At 35.3% G+C, this 18,734-nt stretch overlaps 1 protein-coding gene across 12 annotated transcripts in view; it reads right to left on the bottom strand.

The window, feature by feature from the left end:
* RNF217 (ring finger protein 217) overlaps nucleotides 1–18,734 on the bottom strand; it is a 130,198-nt gene that overhangs the window by 21,844 nt on the left and 89,620 nt on the right. For 10 of the 12 annotated variants that reach the window (NR_136734.1, NR_104440.3, XM_011535494.3 and 7 more), the window contains one exon: nucleotides 12,685–12,849. Coding sequence is in view for 8 of the 12 variants with exons in the window: in XM_011535494.3 (XP_011533796.1) it covers nucleotides 12,685–12,849 (165 nt within the window). In the remaining 4 variants the exon portion in view is untranslated. Of the gene's footprint in view, nucleotides 1–12,684; nucleotides 12,850–18,734 lie in introns of those variants that run through there. The other 2 variants (XM_047418242.1, XR_001743178.2) reach the window with 2 other exon arrangements.

The raw sequence follows: 18,734 nt of genomic DNA, 5'->3' as shown, positions 1-18,734 counted from the left end.
TATATGTGTTTCCTTCAATGACTTTTGATACCTGGAAGAATTAATTAGAAACAAAAGTTACAAGGAAAGCTTTAAAAAAATTTCCTGAAACTCAAACAAATCCCATAAAAAAGTGGACAAAGGACATGAATAGACATTTCTCAAAAGAAGAGATACCAACAGTCAACAAACATATGAAAAAATGCTCAGCATCACTAATTATCAGGGAAATGCAAATTAAAAACACAATGAGATACCACCTTACTCCTACAAGAATGGCCATAATTAAAAAGTCAAAAAACAATAGATGTTGGTGTGAATGTGGTGAAAAGAAAACACTTTTATGTTTGTGGAACTGCAAGTTAGTACAATCACTATGGAAAACAGATTCCTTGAAGAACTAAAAGTAAAGCTATCATTTGATCCAGCAATCCTGCTGCTGAATATCTATCCAAAAGGACAGACATCATTATATGAAAAATACATGTGCACGCACATGTTTATAGCAGCACAATTCACAACTGCAAAGATGTGGAACCAATCTAAGTACCCAACAATCAATGAGTGGATAAAGAAAACATGCTATATATACACCATGGAATACTACTGAAGAGCATAAAAGAAATGAAATAATGTCTTTTGCAGAAACTTGGATGGAGCTGGAGGCCATTACTCTAAGTGAAGTAACTCAGGAATGGAAAACCAAATGTTGTATGGTCTCAATTATAAGTGGGAGCTAAGCTATGGGGATGCAAAGGTATAAAGATGATCTCATGAAGTTTGGGGACTAGGAATAGGAGGTAAGAGTGGGAAAGGGATGAGGCATAATGTAATGGGTACAGTGTACACTGCTCGGATAATGGGTGCACTATAATCTCAGAAATCACCACTAAAGAATTTACCCATGTAACCAAAAACCAACGGTACCCCAAAAACTATTGAAATAAAAAAAATCCCCTGAGATTTCACACCAGTCAGAATGGGTATTATTAAAAAGTCAAAAAACAACAGATGCTGGTGAGGCTGCAAAGAAAAGGGAATGCTTATACACTATTGCTGGGAATGTGGATTAGTTCAATCACTGTGGAAAGCAGTTTGGAGATTTCTCAAAGAACTTAGAACTACAGTTGGACCCAGGAGTCCTATTACTGGGGATATACCCAAAAGAAAATAGTTCATGAAAAAGATGCACTTGCATTTTCATTGCAGCACTATTCACAATAGCAAACAAACTGAATCAACCTAGGTGCCCATCAACAGTGGACTGGATAAAGAAAATGTGGTATATATAGATCATGGAATACTACTGAGCCATAAAGAAGAATGAAATCACATCCTTTGCAGCAATATGAATGCAGCTGAATTCAAGTAAGTAAAATGAATCCTCAACTGCCATGTCAGGGAGTCAATAGAAAATATCAAGGACTAGGTGTAAAAGACTACTATTTAGAGGTAATTATCAGGTGTAAAACTCCAAATGAATAAGAAACAGCTGCTTCTATCACAGTAGACTATGCTGCAAAAATAAATAGATGCTGATTTCAAAATTATTTGGTGTCTCTTGCTATAATGTTAGCTTTTTAAGGCCAACACTCTGATAGCAATAATTGTCTCCAATGTACTGAGTTCTTTTTTTGTTACAGAAAATTTCATGTTTCAAGTTAAGTCTTATGATTAATTTATAATGACAAGAATTCATTAAAGTGTAGTATACTGTCCAAATCTTATTCCTCAGGGTAGAGCCGTACAATAAATGAGCCTAGTTTTCTTCCTTCTTCTTTACCACACCACTTCCCTTGATCCCACTGCCCCATGTTCTCAGAAATCTTCAGATGCCAGTTTTCCCCTCCTTCAGCTTCATCTTCACCTCTCCTCTCTGTGATTATACATGTCATCCTACTAAATCCTTCCTTTCATTCCACCTGGCCCTCTACCCAATGATTACCTTCACCTTTTCATATTTACCAAATTTTTCCAAAGAATACTACTCATTGTTCTTACTTGCATCTCAATTCCTCCTAAGCTGACTGCAATCCCATGTTCTTGAAACATCTAGCTGTCTTTCATTCATTTTTTCATTCAACAAATAATTACTTTGTTCATTGATAAAATCTGACAGGGCTCCTGCCTTTAAAGAGCTTATACATGTATACAGACATTAACCAACTGTATAAACAAATATATATGCATAAGCTATGCCAAATGCATGAAAAAATATTTTCTCACTGATAAAGTCTGACATGGCTCCTGCCCTTAAGGAGCTTATAGGTGTAGACAGAGAGTAATCAATTGTACTAACAAATATATATTCATAAGCTATGCCAAATGCTGTGAAGGAAAAGTAGAAAGTATGAAGACAGTACTCAATAGATGAGCTTGATCTGGTGTAAGGGTCAGAGGAGGTTTCTCTAAGAAAATGACATTTGATCTAAGAAATGAAGGACAAGTAGCAGTTCTCCAGTTAAGGGGACTTAAAGGTAGGGAGAGAATTCTAAATACAGCATATTTATGGCATTGTATCTACTAATTGAGAAGCACCCTGCACTAGCCCTGTTGCAGCATTCCTCACTCTACATTTTAAAACTCTTTAATTATCTGTATCCCTCCATTCAGACTCTCTACTCTTCCAGTCTATAAAATCTACAGGGGCCCAGATCAGGTACTTCTTTTTCATTATCTCATTAAAGAGCTGTGCACAGTACCAACACACAGCATGTTCTTAATAAATACTTTTTAAAAAAACACATGAATATTATCCATGACCCCCATCTGCAAAATATAATGAACATGTTTTAAATTTTTATCTTATTGTAGCTCTGTGTCACTTAATCAGTCGCTCAGTACCTCCTTACTGACCTTTGATACACTATTGCTTCAGTGACATCTTTTTTCCAGTTTCTCCTCTCCTCTCTGAGGTTCCTGTTCCTTCACCAAGCCCTTAATTCCATCCAGGACTCACCACTTTGCATTTGCTCCTTGAGTGATCACTTCCACATTCGAATGGTTTCAACTTTATTCCAACAAAGGTAGATCTTTATCTCTACTGAGGACCTGGCTCCTGAGCTTCTGACTCACATAGTAACTGTTTGCTAGTCAGATATACCTATATCCCTCACAGCCATTTCAAAGTCAAGTGAACAAAACCAAACTCATCATCATTTCATGGCTCACCACTGCAACAAAAAATAAATAACTCTAACTCTGTCTCCATTATTTTATTTTAGTTTATGGTATCACCATCCATTTAGATACCCATACTAAATATTTGGTGGTTATCCTGTTTTTACTTCCCACATTCAACTTTCCATCAAGGTCAGATAGTTTTAGCCCCATAATATTTATCTAGTTCTTTTCTCCTCCAGCCCTTTGACAACTGGCCTAGTTCATATTGTCATTATTTTTCTTTCAGATGTCTACAGCTAGCACCATAAAATCAACAAGCAGCCAACCTAAAATATAAATCTGATACCACTACTCTCCTGCTTTTATTTTTCAATGGCCCCTATAGTCTGGAGGATAAAACCCAACTATCTTAATGTTGTTTGCAAAGTCCCAGCTCTTGTTGGCTTCTCCAGCCCCACCTCTCACCACTTCCTTGCATAAACCTTACGCTAAGTTAACCACAAAGTGCCTGTGGCTCCTAGAGACATCAAACACTTCCTGGCTCTGTGCCTTTGCAGTTTTAATTGTAATCTCCCTCTTCTGGATACCTTTCATCATGCCATAATCCACCCAACAATCCTCCACAACCTAGCTCCCTTGGATTCCTCAAGATGGTGTTGAGTCCTTTCGCCATGAACCCTCGTATAATACTCCTGCAACATTCCACTGAAGTGCAATAGTGTTTATCATTGTCAGTCTAAGGACTATGTCTCCCCTTCTGCAAGTTCCACAAGAAAAAGAACCACATCCTACAGGGCACACAACAAATTCTCATTAAAAGTCCATATAAGGTAGAATGAAAAAGTATATTCATTTATTTATTCAGCCATTATCTATTATTTAGTGCTATCCAAAGCCTGGCAGCAGCTCTAAATACTAGAGGTAACTCAGACAATAAAATAGATCAAATCTCTGCTCTCACAGCTGCAAAATATGTTCATTATTTTAAGTAGTGATAAGTAATATAATACCATGGAGAAAAAATAAGGCATATGGGAGGGGATAGTACCTACTGAGGTAGGGGACGGTGGTTTGAAATTTTAGATAAGGTGACCAAGGGAAGTTTTACTGAGAAGCTGAATTTTCCTCAAAAACATGTAAGAAGTGAGAGAGCTGGCAGTGCACACATCTGTGGTAAGAACATTCCAGACAGAGGGACAAGGCAAGTCTGAGATCCTGAGAAGGGAGAATACCTGCAGTTTCGAAGCACAGCCAGCAGTGAAATTTGACTGTAGCAGGGTGAAGGAAGGAAAGATATGACTAGAGGAGTCACAGAGTGGGGACATGTCCAGAGGGCGACGGGTTCTATGGTCATCATAGAACTAACTTTTGCTCTGTGTCAGATAGGAACCACAGACAATTTTGAGCAGAGTGATGTAATCTGCGTTATGTTTAACAGCATCATTCTAGCTGCTGGGTTAAGAACGTTGTGAAGAATGAGATACCAGTTAGGAGGTACATGAAAATCCTGCAGAGAGAAAGACGATGATGCCTTGCCCCAGGTTAGTGATAGTGGGGGTACTGAGATATGGTCAGATTCTAAATACATTTTAGTGGCACAATCTACAAAACTTAATGACTCACCAGACATGGGAAATGAAAGAAGCAGAGTCTGGGATAACCTAAAGTTCTTGGCCTGAGCAGCTGGAAGACTGGAGTGGCCATTTACTGAGACAGAGAAGCTATGAGAAGAACCATTTTGGGGAGAAGAGAACATACTGCGTTGGAGAAGTCTATTAGATCCGGTTGAAGATGTTGAGTAGCTATTTGGATATATAGCTTTTCTCACAGTTCCCCAAAACTTTACGATTTGCCTACCGACTGAGCCAACAGCTAAATGTGTGCCCTGTTTTTAATTCTATGTGTAGTTTGCTGTAGAAAGAGAAAGCAACTCTTAAAACCTGAAAAGAAATGAAAATGGAAACTAATGAATTACATTAAGAAAGCTTTAGATCCTTTAGCAAAAATGTCTCCATCAGCACCCACATGGAAAATGGGCAGCTTTTTACTCAATTTCTTGTCTACATAGATCACTGGATTTCATCCTTTGCAGAAGCCCTCATCATCTATAACACAGCTCTCAACAGGTGCTCTCATGCCCCAGGAGACGCTTCAGAATTTAGTTGTTGCTGGAGTGTCTAGTTGTCACAAAGATGGTGGGGCTGGCATTTATGTATGTCCTGCAATGCTTAGAATATCCTGCACAATACAGAATTGAGCTTTTCTCATGTAATTTTTAAATGCATCGGACATTCATATTGGTAAAACTCTGTTTGAAATATCTTAAGTTAGAACCAAACTCTATTTTACGTATAAACACAAAATAACATTTCCATGACTTTTTTTTTTTTTTTTTTTTGAGACAGAGTCTCACTCTGCTGCCAAGGCTGGAGTGCAGTGGCGTCATCTCGGCTCACTGCAACCTCTGCCTCCTGGGTTCAAGCCATTCTCCTGCCTCAGCCTCCCAAGTAGCTGGGACTACAAGCGACTGCCACTACGTCCAGCTAATTTTTTTTTTATCTTTTATTTTTTATTTTTAGTAGAGACGGAGTTTCACCGTGTTAGCCAGGATGATCTCGATCTCCTGACCTCGTGATCCGCCCGCCTCGGCCTCCCAAAGTGCTGGGATTACCGGCGTGATTGCATAGTTTTAATATACAATGAATTTTTCAGTTATATAACTACTGTGTAAATTGATGAGATTGGTTATATTCAGAAGCTAATTCTACTTTATATGTAAGTCCAAAATATGTTTGCATGGTTTTAAGGTACACTACATTTTCTAGTACCCTAACTATATATATATACACACGTACATACACACACATAAATATGTATGTGTATATACATACAAGTATAGATGACATGTGATATACATATAAAAATAATATATACACACGTACTTATTTTGTCCTCATTTTAAAATATTAAATATAAAGGATAGGTATTGATAACATTCAAATTTCACTTCAAGGTTTCTTAAATCTAAATGCATGCACAAATTTGACTGCTTCATTATTTCTTCATTTCCTCTTTTACTTCTTCATTTTAGGAACCATAAAATTTGATGATATCTGAGTATTTACATGTTAAAATATGCATTATTTCATTACAATATTTTCACTTATTTCTATTTTATAACTAAGACAACATATTGATTTTTAAAATAAAATATTATAGGTAGTCACATTATATTTAATCTCAGGACCGTAAGCAAGTACTAACATTACTTGTCATAAAAACAGGGCATTGGATACAATGTAGTTAATATCCTCCAAAGTATGTGCCGTCAAACAATCATGCTTCTAACAACTAAGGTCTAGAGCTTGGCATACCATAAAAACAGTGCCAATGATAACCCCTGCTCCAGATTTAGTGATTTTAAGCAATCTGGAGAGTTAAAAATGGTTTATCAGTAGTTAGGGAAAAGCTATTTTATCCTGAATGGGCATTATTTGAAAGTAGTCAGCCTCTGAATGTGCATTATTTGAAAGTAGTCAGCCTCTGAATGTGCTTTTGTAGTGATATATGAAGTACTAAGGAATTGCAGGATACCTATAAGATGCAACATTAATACTTCGGATTCTTATTTCAGCAACTGCAAGTTACATAGCCACAGATATAAAAGACCAAAAAAATAGCTTTTGTGTTGACCTTATGTGAACAGGGGAAGATTATTCATTTTCTTTGAATCAATACATTCTTGCCCAAAGCATTCTATTATAGGATTGAAGAGAATAAAATATCTAAAGGGAAATATCATGACAAGTAAATCCCTCTAATTCCAAATTTATAATAAATTATGAATAAATACAATTCACTTTTTTTCTGCTTGCTTTTTTGGTCATTACTTAAACTCTCTGAAACTGGTTCTGCATCTTGAAATGGTGGTAATTACCTCTTGTTTACAACTTTCTTTTGAGAATTGAGACAACAAATGAAACTTACATACTACCAATCCTGTTATGTTATAATTATTGTGCAAAACCTTAAAGTTTTATCAAATCACTTAATAGTGATGATCTGAGTGGTACACTGAAAATCAGAATCTTAGTATCACATCTGAAGTTTGGATGAGACAATATATTTATAGTAACTACAGAGGAGACTGACATGCAATAAATGTCAGTACATGTTAGTGTTATTATTACTGTGATAACACCACAAACAAAGAGCACCGGACAAAGGTACTTTGTATAGAGATGGCGTATCAGAATCCAGAAATGACTATGCACATTTGATCTTTCTTTTAAAAACATAAAAGTAACTTCCTGTCATCTAGAAATAATGAATATGTTGACCTTAGAATAAAATAAATTACAATTTAGTGTATGTGTGACAGTGCTCATTAACTGTTTATTTGCTTTTATAACGTATAATCCTGTGTTTGTTATTTTTAGCATGCATCTCACTTTTAATTTTTGACTTAGAAACTTTTCTTCTTAACTCAGACTTTAGTATCTAATCTGTGGTATAAAACAGTCTAAAATGAATTTTTGCATGACATTGAACAAATATTCTGATACCTCCAACAAAATTTAGATTGCCTACTTGCTTTAAATTTAATATTAAAACTATTACGAACTAGACTTGGTTTTGTAATGACTAAGTCTACAAACTAGATTTATTTTTGTGATAACTAAGATAACTAAAGAAGACATTTCAAAATTAGCACATATTTTCCATAGGTTAAGAATTTACATTAAATAGAAAACTCATTGTTAAGATAAAAAATGGTGTTTCATAAGTGACTGAAAAATACTTTGCATTAAGAAGCAATGAGGCAGTGGCTCACGCCTGTAATCCAACACTTTGGGAGGCTGAGGTGGGCGGATCACCTGAGATCAGGAGTTCGAGATAAGCTGGTCAACGTGGTGAAACCTCGTCTCTACTAAAAATACAAAAATTAGCCGGGCATGGTGGTGGGCACCTGTAATCCCAGCTACTTGGGAGACTGACGCAGGAGAATCTCTTGAGCCCGGGAGACGAAGGTTGCAGTGAGCCGAGATAGCACCACTGCACTCCATCCCGGGTGAAAAGAGTGAGACTCCATCTCAAAAAAAACAAAAACAAACAAACAAACAAAAGGAACAATAAGATTCAAATAAAAATGGCTAAGTAAAGTTGACCTTAATGTGGTGGGTTATGTTTTCATAAAAATATTCTATAAATTAATTCTAGATATGTTTGTATATTTTTATCGTACTATAAAAATCATACTTGTAAGTAAGTATCTTGATCATGAGGAAAAAAATTTTAATGTTCATCCTGATTACCTGCCAAAATACAATTATAAATAAAAATTTTGATTTCTAAGCACAAGTCAAATCTCTTCATAATACTATATCATGTATTAAATTGGTCTATCCATTTGAGAAAAAGGTAAAAACTCACTAAGAGAGAAGTAATGCTTAATACATAAATAAGATAAAATTTTGTTTCATTTAGAATACTAATTAAAATAATGAATTAATAGATTATCAAACCTTGCTTAGATTAGCAAATTTAACAAAGGCATAATCGTTTAAAACTCACCAGTGTAAGTACAGAATTTTCTTTAAAAATCAGCAGCAAGAAAAGAGACTATTATGTATTATAATTTAAGATATTGTAATTTAAGATATAATTTAGAGAGAAATTACAAATCAATTGATGAGGGGAAAGTCATCCCATAAACACAATTGGGTTAGATGGTTTCAATTTGGAAAAAATATTACTTCAGGTACCCAATGCATAATAAGCACTAAAATAAATTATGGTTGGATTAAAGAGTTAAAATATTAAAAAATCAAATAAAGAAAGAAAATTGAACTTTTAATCAAACTTCTGAATGACTTTTTAAACTCAGAAGCAACATATTTACAAAAGATATACAAAGATATGTAAATATATAAAAATATGTGTTCATACGACATATGTGCTTGTGTATTTGACCACAAAGAAAGAGAATAACATATTTAGTAAAACAAAAATAAAAAAACTAAACAATACATATGCAAATCAATTAATTTAAAAAAAAACGAAAACCTACCACTCAAATAAAAAGGAAGAAATAGAAAACAGGGAAAATGTGGAGACAATAATGCCAGAAGTGGAGTTTAAATATCTAAATAAAGAGCTCATAAAATTTGATAATAAAAATATGCCCCAATCTGTCCCACATAAATGGGCAAAGGGTATGAACAGAAAATTTTAAAAGGGGGCATTACAAACTCAAAAATACATGAATTTATATTCAGTTTACAAGCAAACAGGAAAATATAAAATACAAGAAAAAATATTTTAAAATTATTAAATTAATATTTAAAAAATACTTAAAATGCCAACAAATGCTCATACTGAAACAGGTCCTCAAACTTTCTAGGTGGAATTATAAATTGATTCATTCCTTTTAGAAAGCAAATTGCCAATATGTGCTAAATACTAAAAACTTAGGTATTCTTTAACCCAGTCATTCTACCTTTATAAATATATGCTTTCAAAGGTATAAAATATGGAAAAAAAATTCTAGATGAATATCATCAACACATTATTTATAATACACAATTTTTTAAATCCCAGAACAAACCAAGCAAGCCTTGGTATCCAATAGTGGAGGAATATTTAAGCAAGTGTTACACAGTTCATGGTTAATGAAATAAATGTTTTGAAAACTACTCAGTAATATGAGAAATGTTTGCAATGTTAGGTGAAAATAGTAATGATATTAAATTATTTGAACATCACAACTAAAACTTTTTAAAAAGCCATTTAAATAGGGTGAAAGACCAAGGGCACACAATAAGATGTTAGGAGTAAGTACACTGGGGCGGCAGAATTCTGGGTGAATATTTTCCCTCTCTTTTCCAAATTTCTATCTGATGTTATATCACCTTGATAAACAAATCATTTGGAAATCAAAATATGGTTTGGCGTGGTGGCTCATACCTGTAATTCCAGCACTTTGGGAGGCTGAGGCGGGTGGACCACTTGAGGTCAGGAGTTTGAGACCAACCTGGCCAACATGGTGAAACCCCGTCTCTACTGAAGAAACAAAAATTACTCAGGCATGGTGGCTCATGCCTGTAATCCCAGCTACTTGGGAGGCTGAGGCATGAGAATTGCTTGAGCCTGGGAGGCGAAGGTTGCAGTGAGCCGAGATCGTGCCATTATACTCCAGGCTGGGAAACAGAGCAAGACTCTGTCTCAAAATAAATAAATAAATAACAATATTTACTAAAATTATGAACTAATTAAAACATATACCTATAGTAGGGTACAAATATATATGTGTGTGTGTGTGTGTGTGTGTGTATACACATATATACTTTCCTAACAAAATTTTAAATACATTTAGTTATCATGATTGAAAGCATTTATATGAAAATATGTGATAATTGTTTACCTGGAGGCATTATGTGAGAAATTCTTCATTTCTTTTACTCAAATTCCTACCATCTTCCTATTTTATATTTATAAATGGTAAAAGATATATTTATGAAAAGAAAGCCTTACAGTATAAAACAAATATTAATTCACTCAGTAATATCTCCTCATAGGTTTCTGTTGTAATAATAGAAATGTTCCATGGGGCAAAACATAATTTTAGGGTCCAAGAAAAAAGGTAAAGTTTTAAAGTCATGCTTAAAAGAGAAAGAAAAATGAAACCATTTATACTCCAAACACATCATAAAATATGACTTAAACAGACAGAAACTTCACAGAACCCAAATCCCACCAGAAAGTAGGCTCTCTGCTACAATGTAATAATGTCCACTGATTCCATGGTTCTTTTCCTTTCAGCTATTTAAAAGGTAATCCCTTTTAAAGCCCTGACCTTTTAGCTATTACTTCAAAGGGGAACCAGCATTTATGCTTTCTCTTAACAGTTTATCTACATTTGTTACAACTGTGGAAAGTTGTTAGAACATTCAGTAAATTCCCCATGGTCGGCTTCTTTTTCTTCCTTTACATTATAGTCCATTTAAGGTTGGGTTAAGAGATTACAGTAACAAATGTATGTATTTTGTGTTACATCAGTTTATTCAGAATTTCCCCAACGTATAATGCTGCAGTGGTGCTCATTCCAAATCCAGTTGTAGAACCAGGCTAACTTGGAATTGTTTTTACAGCTTTCCAAAGGATATAAAATGCACTTATGAATAACTGTTAAGTAGAATAACTTAACAGCACTCTAAGTTCCTACTGGTCTTTGTTTTGTTTGAAACTGAGCAGTAGCTTTGAATAAACTAAAAAGGCAAGAGAAAGGGGGGAAGGCCTCATTTTCTAGTTGTTCTTTAATGGAATGAAAAATAAGTATACTGAGCAACCGATGCAGTGATCTGAAATAGCTCTAAAACAAAATGGGTGACTGTGGATGAATTTGCCTTCTACAAGGAAAACAAAGAAAACTTTAGGCCAAATATCTTTAGACATCACTTCTATTAGAAAGCCAGGTCATCTAAACTATTTCAAAAATTTCTTCCAATTGCTAAAAATGCAACACGTTATTTCATACAATACTTTTCCTTACTATATTTATAAACCAGTATGTGAATTTGGTATAGTAAATCTGTACATTTATTATTATTATGCTCATTTATAGGCTTAGAATATACTTTTACTTCCAATTGTATTCATAATTTTTAAATTTTAAACATTTTCTGGCAATTCAAGTTTCATTTATCTGGTGCTAAGTCTCCAAGAAGTAATTGCAGAATTGTGCTTAAAAGATAATTAGGCCAATTTAGAGATTATTTCCAAAAATAAATTTGGCAAAGGGTAGGAACCACATAAGGCAAAGGGTACACACACATGATTTTCTACAGTAAGATTTTTTAAAACTTTCAAACTTCAACAGATCCCTATACTATAGACATCAAGTCCAAAGTTTTCTGGTTGAATTTACTGGCTGACCTCCCGTAGGAGAGTCTTCCCTGGCTGTTTGCTTGGCTAACTTTCAACACATCTAGGTCTGAGCTCAAATTGCCTGCTAGTTCTTGATTACTTGCATGATTATCAAAAGAAAGATGAAAAGTGGGATTCATAAAATCCCTAAGTCCTGATTTTAGCTATGAGCTTTTACTTTACCAGATTTGCAAAAAAGCAAAACAATCAGTTCAATTTAATGTAATTTTTAAGTGATCAGCAATGTCAGCAAGGAAAGAAAAGCAAAAGATCGCAAGGATTCAAAGCCTATATAATTGAGAAGTAATTATAGTACACGTGGCAGACTAGAACTTATACTTTTATATCACTTTTACGCTATATTTTTCCTATAAAGTACATCCTCATTTTTAAATGTAATATAAGGACCTCAATGTCTTAAGTCAATATTTATATGTGGCCTCCTTAAATTTTGAAGAGTAATGCAAAAATAAGAATATACATGGTTTATAAAAATTTTCAGTTTAATTATATAATTACTTTTCCAAAATAAAAGAGCAATACTCTTTTTCCACATACCTGCATTAAGACAGTTATAATTCCCTTCAATAATGTAAATATTGTTCAGTCACATCCAGATGTACATGTTTTTTCTTTTCCTCCTAAAAGTTATCTCACCTTGCACTTTGGACACTTCTGGGCATTCCTCTGCCCATGCTCAATTTCGCTGGCCCAGTGACGCAACAATTTGTCTCCTTTTTTGTACTCCTTGCAGTTAACACCTTCATGCCAAGGAGAGTGGCACTTAAAACACCAGACGAATTGGCAGGTAGGGCACTGGATCTGTGTAAGAAAAAAATCATATTAATTACTAGTGGATATACTGAAAGTGTCTAAAAGGATAAGAAGGTGATGCTTGGGGAAATTAGCTAAAAGTTTATAATTTAAAATACCTCCCCCTCTATAAGACTCAAACTACAGGAAGATATGAATACTCTGTTACTACAGGAAAGAATTGCTTTGGCAAGGATGACTTGGCTATTTGTAGGCTGTACTGGAGTTAAACATTTGGTTCTGGAAACCAATTTAGCTTTAAGAAAATCTCCCAGATTTAAGTGCAGTCTCCCAGATTGAACCTGAAGGCTCACAAGGCCCCAAATCCACACACTCAGGCTGCCCTTTAATTCACCTTTCCTTTGAACGAATTACCCAGCCATTTCCATTGTCTTCTTAAGAATGGCTTATTTCATTTTATTTTTAAAAAGCCCCACAGATGCTTCATCAAATAAAAAACACAGTAGCAGTCTGGGTGTGGTGGCTTATGCCTGTAATCCTAGCACTTTGGGAGGCTGAGGCGGCTAGATCACTTGAGGTCAGGAGTTAAAGCCCAGCCTGGCCAACATGGTGAAACCCCATCTCTACGAAAAATATAAAAATTAGGTGGGCATGTTGGTGCATGCTTGTAATCCCAGCTACTCAGGAGGATGACACGAGACATGACAATCACTTGAACCCAGGAGGCGGAGGTTGCAGTCGAGCCGAGATTGTGCCACTGCACTCCAGCATGGGCGACAGAGAGAGACCATCTCAAAACAACAACAACAACAATAAAAACACAGTAACAAACAAACTGCTAGAACAGCATTTGCTATGAAGCAGCATTTAAAATAATGGATACTCCTGGTTTGCTACCAACGTAAGGCAGGCTAATTATAAAAACAATGCAAAGCATTCTATTATTAGAAATATATCAATATAGTGGCCCTGTGGCCTGTACTTAGAAAACCGTCAGAAACGGGCCTTCATATTTCACTATGTGGAGGGGTATATGACAGTGCACGTGTAAGTTTAATATGAATATCTGTCTTCCACTTGACATGGAGGATATTTTATCTGACTTCCTTTATTTTGAATGATAGTGGAATATTCCACTCATACACATTATTTCCACTCCTAACTCTCTAAAAGCATATGGGTATAACCTGACTTACAGAGCCCCATGTGATTACAATGGATTAATAAAATGTCTCATTATGAATGATATTTATAACTGACCACTCTCTTTGCTCCTCTATGTCACGTCACTGCAGCATGTGTGAATTCACTGACTACATTTTAAAGGTTAGTTAGAATTTCCTTTTTGGAAAACAACTTTTTTGACAATGGAGGTTCTACTATATAGACTAATTAGCTGAGTGGCAATTACAATCACAGCTCTTCTGTTAATAACTCAAAGCACTGTAATTTTCACTTATGTCAAGAATGGATAATGCTCCTCTTGTGCAACTATGAAGTAAAAGTACTTTTGTTATTAACTTTATATAAAAATGGTATTCTGTCATAAGGCTTAAAAGATTTTCACGTTTATTTATTTATTAAAATTCTGTTCAATGATAATGTCTATGTTGAATATATTACATGCATTATTTATTTTCATCCTCAAAATAATGCTGGAAGGTAGATATGAACATCATCAGTTTACAGATGATGGAAATGAGACTCAGATAGATTAAATAACTTGCTGAAGGTAACACAGCACATATGTGTTAAGAAGGAATTTAAACGTAAGTTTGTCTGGCTCCAAGTTTAGCATAATTTTCACTATAGTCTTATACTAAACGGCATTTGTTCTTTGACAATTGACAACTTAAAATGTAGTAGTCAAAGATGGTCATATCATTAAACTATTCAATAAGTCAGAATTCCACATGATTACCAAGATAAGGTGAACTTTGAAAATTCTTTTCAAGATCTACTTATATAAATTGAGAAACTACTTGGTTTAAGTAAAAAAATGAAAAAAGAAAAAAAGGATGTTACTCTTTAGTTATTTAAAATAACTGTTTTCCTTTTTGATCATTACAATTAAAATAAATCATTTTTAAAAGAAAACAAGTTGAAGTAGATGAGATTCAGCTAAGAAAACAATATAAAATGTTTACTTCCATTTGCCATTGAGCAATGAAGACTAGATGTAAATATCACATGGAGCCTTCCTTTCCAATATAATGAATGAAATGAGGAAAGAAGGAAAAAAATTGCTTTTCCTTATGCATCTAACATTAAGTCAGAACACCTGAAAAGTTAATTCGGTTATCTTCTATTGGACATTATTCATAATTCTGAATCACTAGATTCTAGCATCATTAAATGAACTTTTTGAAAAGATCTCTCTAGTTTTTAATCAGTCTTAGATTATATTTATGAAATATTAGAATGAATGTAAAGATGCTTTGAAACTCGGATTCGCTCTATAAATGTCAGACATTTAATGACTCAAAGATCTTTGTGATTAAGTGCTGAACTATCACATTTGTGAATCTCTAATGAAGACAATTATAGCAATGCATGATTCTCCTAAGGCATCAGAATAATAAAGAATCTGACGCTTTGTGTCCAAACCAGGGACTCTGGCTCATAATAAACAACCAAGTCCTACTGCAGATCCTATTGCAAATCCTCACCAACAGCACAGACTTAGTGGGAAACTGTGACCAGAGTTATGGGGCAGTCTCTCAAGTGAATACAAATAAGTTAAACTCATACTGGATTGCTTACTATCTCTCACTGAAAACATCAGAATCACTCTTTATTTGCTTTGGATTAAAACCATAAAAGGACTAATAGCCAACTCCAACAACTTTGGTATTAAAAGACTACATCTGAAATTGTCCCAGATTTTTTGTTCTGAAGATGCCTCATTCATTTTGAACTTAACCATATTCAAAATTGGCCTTACGCAAACACATACAGACATCAACACTGCATCTTCCTCCACTCTTTTATTTACAGTTATTCTTCCACATGAAATGCTATCTCACAACCACATACCCACCACATGGAGTGCCTGCCTTCTTAGTAATTACAGTCACACAGAAATCATCATGCCCTGTCCTTGTGGCTCAAAGTGTGGTTGCAGGGCCAGAAACATCAGCATCACCTGAGAACTTGTTGGAAACACAGAATTCATGAATCCTTAGACCTCAGAGCCAAAAGTGCACATTTTCACAAGGTCCGAAGGTGATTTGTATGCATCCTAAAGTTTGAGAGGCACTGCTCTATACCATGTGACTGCATCGCCCAGGCCACAATTTATTGGACCAGGAATGAGTCCCTAAGCCAAAAACATGTATCCACTAGTTGGCAAGCTGCCTAAGCGGTGGCATGAGCTTTGTGTAGCATGGGTGCTCATTGTTGAATGGAAATTAGCCAAGATAGATTTTTCTCTCTTGAGGAGTGTCATAGAGATACAAAGGATGCCTTCATGGAGGCAAAGACAGAGAAGAGCTAAATGACTACAATGCAGACCACTGGAGAAGGACACAGACATTGACTTCTGGTGAGATGACAGAAGGGCTCTCACACTACCAGAGCTTGTGTCTGATTCTCTATGAGGCCTGCCTGGGCAGCTGCAGAGAGTATTTTCCTGCCCTTCCTGCTCCCCATGGAGCCTTAGACTAAACCTCACTAATTGAGGTAGCCCAAGAAACAGTACATTTCTGCTTCTGGTAACTGGAAGAGTCCAGTGGATTAAACCTATTAAAATCTTATCTTGATCAAATGCTCCTTTCTTCAAGATGTCTTCCCTATTTCTTGCAACCAGATTCAGTACCTTTCTTATGGAACTTCCATTAGGGATGTAGATGTCTAATCTCTCCAACAGCCCACAAGTTCACTCCTCAGTGAACTGTGTTTGTCAAAGGCTTTGTCTCATGTAAAATGAATGATTTTACACACAGTTTAGGTATCACGTATCAGTTAACATTAAATGAATTCAAAGAAAAACCAACATATCTAATTTATGACTAGTGGCTGAGGTAGTATTACTAATTCCTATATTATCAGATGATGTTTACTAAATACATTGTCCTAATGAACTTTTACTAAGCACTATGATCAACGCACAAACTCTTCTAAAAGAGGCAAGCAGGGCTTCAAGTGCTTCAAGAATAAAGTTATCAGAGCTAAGAATCTTAATTAGCTTTCTCCAGAACTCACAAAAGATAAAAGAACCTTACATTAGATTTTTGACTTTTGAATACCCTTAGTTTTACCAGAAATCTGTGCTATACTGAGATGAAAGTACGCCGACTCACCTGCCCTAAGAAAATGGCATTTTCTCCTGATAATTCATCAAGTCGAGTAAGGAAACAACCCACAAAATAAAAACAGTGTCTAAAACTAAAGAAAACCCCAGATCATTATTTTCCTGCCTAAATTCTAGATACCCCTATACACATCATTATTTTAAATAAATCACAAAATCATTACTTATCAAATTCAAAATATTAGACAACATCCATGTGTAAAGTAGCACTGCAAATATAAGAGCTGATTCAGTTTTCCAAAAAGGATTTGCTTTACTAGAACCTCAGGTTCAGATTCTCAATAATGAAGCACATGTATCAATTCATTTTCCCATCCAACACATATTTATTGGGCACCTTCAAGTAGCAGGAACTGCTTATGTTGATTGTAGGCAGAAAAAAATGAAAATACTTGTCCTTAAGGAACTTACTGGGGTCTGACAGATATAAACCAAAAGAGCTATAAAGGCATATAGTAACTGCCAGAATAGAAGCTGGGACAAGTGAGTGCCATGGAAAGAGGCTTCAGTGAAGCTGGAACATAAGCGTTCAGAGAGAATGTGGCCTTCAACAATGAGTAGAATGTTACAGGGACAAGTGATGAGGTAACACTTTGAATAGAGGGTCCATCCTGAGCCACCACACAGAGGCCCAAGAGCACATGATATATTGGGGAAACAGCAAGTGTTCTAATGTAGCCTGAACAGAGATGTCACTTCAGCTAGCTCAACCCTGATCCTTGCTAAGTGTACAATAAATGGAGCCAGTAAGTTCCTATAATCCTGGCATGTCCCCCAAAATATACCATGGTCCAGAAACTCTGCATAGGAAACATGTAAAAATCATGGCTGTCAGATTCGGGTATGTCCTAAAGAAACTAACCAAAATGGTAAATAATTGGGAAATCTTGTAGTTATAAAAATGTTTTAAAAACTGAAGATGCTTTTCTTGAAGATGAGATGTGGAGAGGTACAGCATGTTATAGAGAGGAGAAAATGAGTCTTGATGAATGGCTTCAAATACTTTCAAGGAAGCACTGTTTGCTCCCTTATAACATCAAATCCTAAAGTCAGATGGTGGCAATGGAAAGAAATTCTCCATATGGGAAAACATATTTTGACTTCTTGTCTTTAATCTTACTCCCTGATATTTCACTGCCTACTTGGGGATCTCTTCCCTGCATGGAAATGCCAGTAACATACAGTCTTCATGAGGCACTGCACCCTTGAAAACAGTCCAAATGTGGCCAAGTGATCCTTGCCTTAGTTTCTCACAGCACAGCTAAAACTAAGCTGGAAAGGGAAAGAGAAACTTTCCTAAAGGCTGAGGACCAACAGCAGACCAAAACAAAACAAAACAAAACAAAACAAATAAAACCACACACACACACACACACACACACACACACACACAAAACGCATGACAAGGTAAGCTATATTGAGATATGGTGCTTATTTATATAAATAACCTTACTGAACTCCCTCAACATTGGTTTCCTTTTACATATGCAACACAATTATTTATTGCACAATGCATTCACCTCAATACTAGCTTTTATGTTCAAGCTGGACTCATACTTTTCTTGGACAGCATGTCTGAACTTGAGAATGGGGGTTGTTTGAAAAAGTACTCTCTCCCTAA

Source organism: Homo sapiens, chromosome 6 (assembly GCF_000001405.40).
Source record: "Homo sapiens chromosome 6, GRCh38.p14 Primary Assembly".
Taxonomy (NCBI): domain Eukaryota; kingdom Metazoa; phylum Chordata; class Mammalia; order Primates; family Hominidae; genus Homo; species Homo sapiens.
Note: the sequence above shows the minus strand (reverse complement) of the source record. Positions and strands in the feature narration are given on the sequence as shown.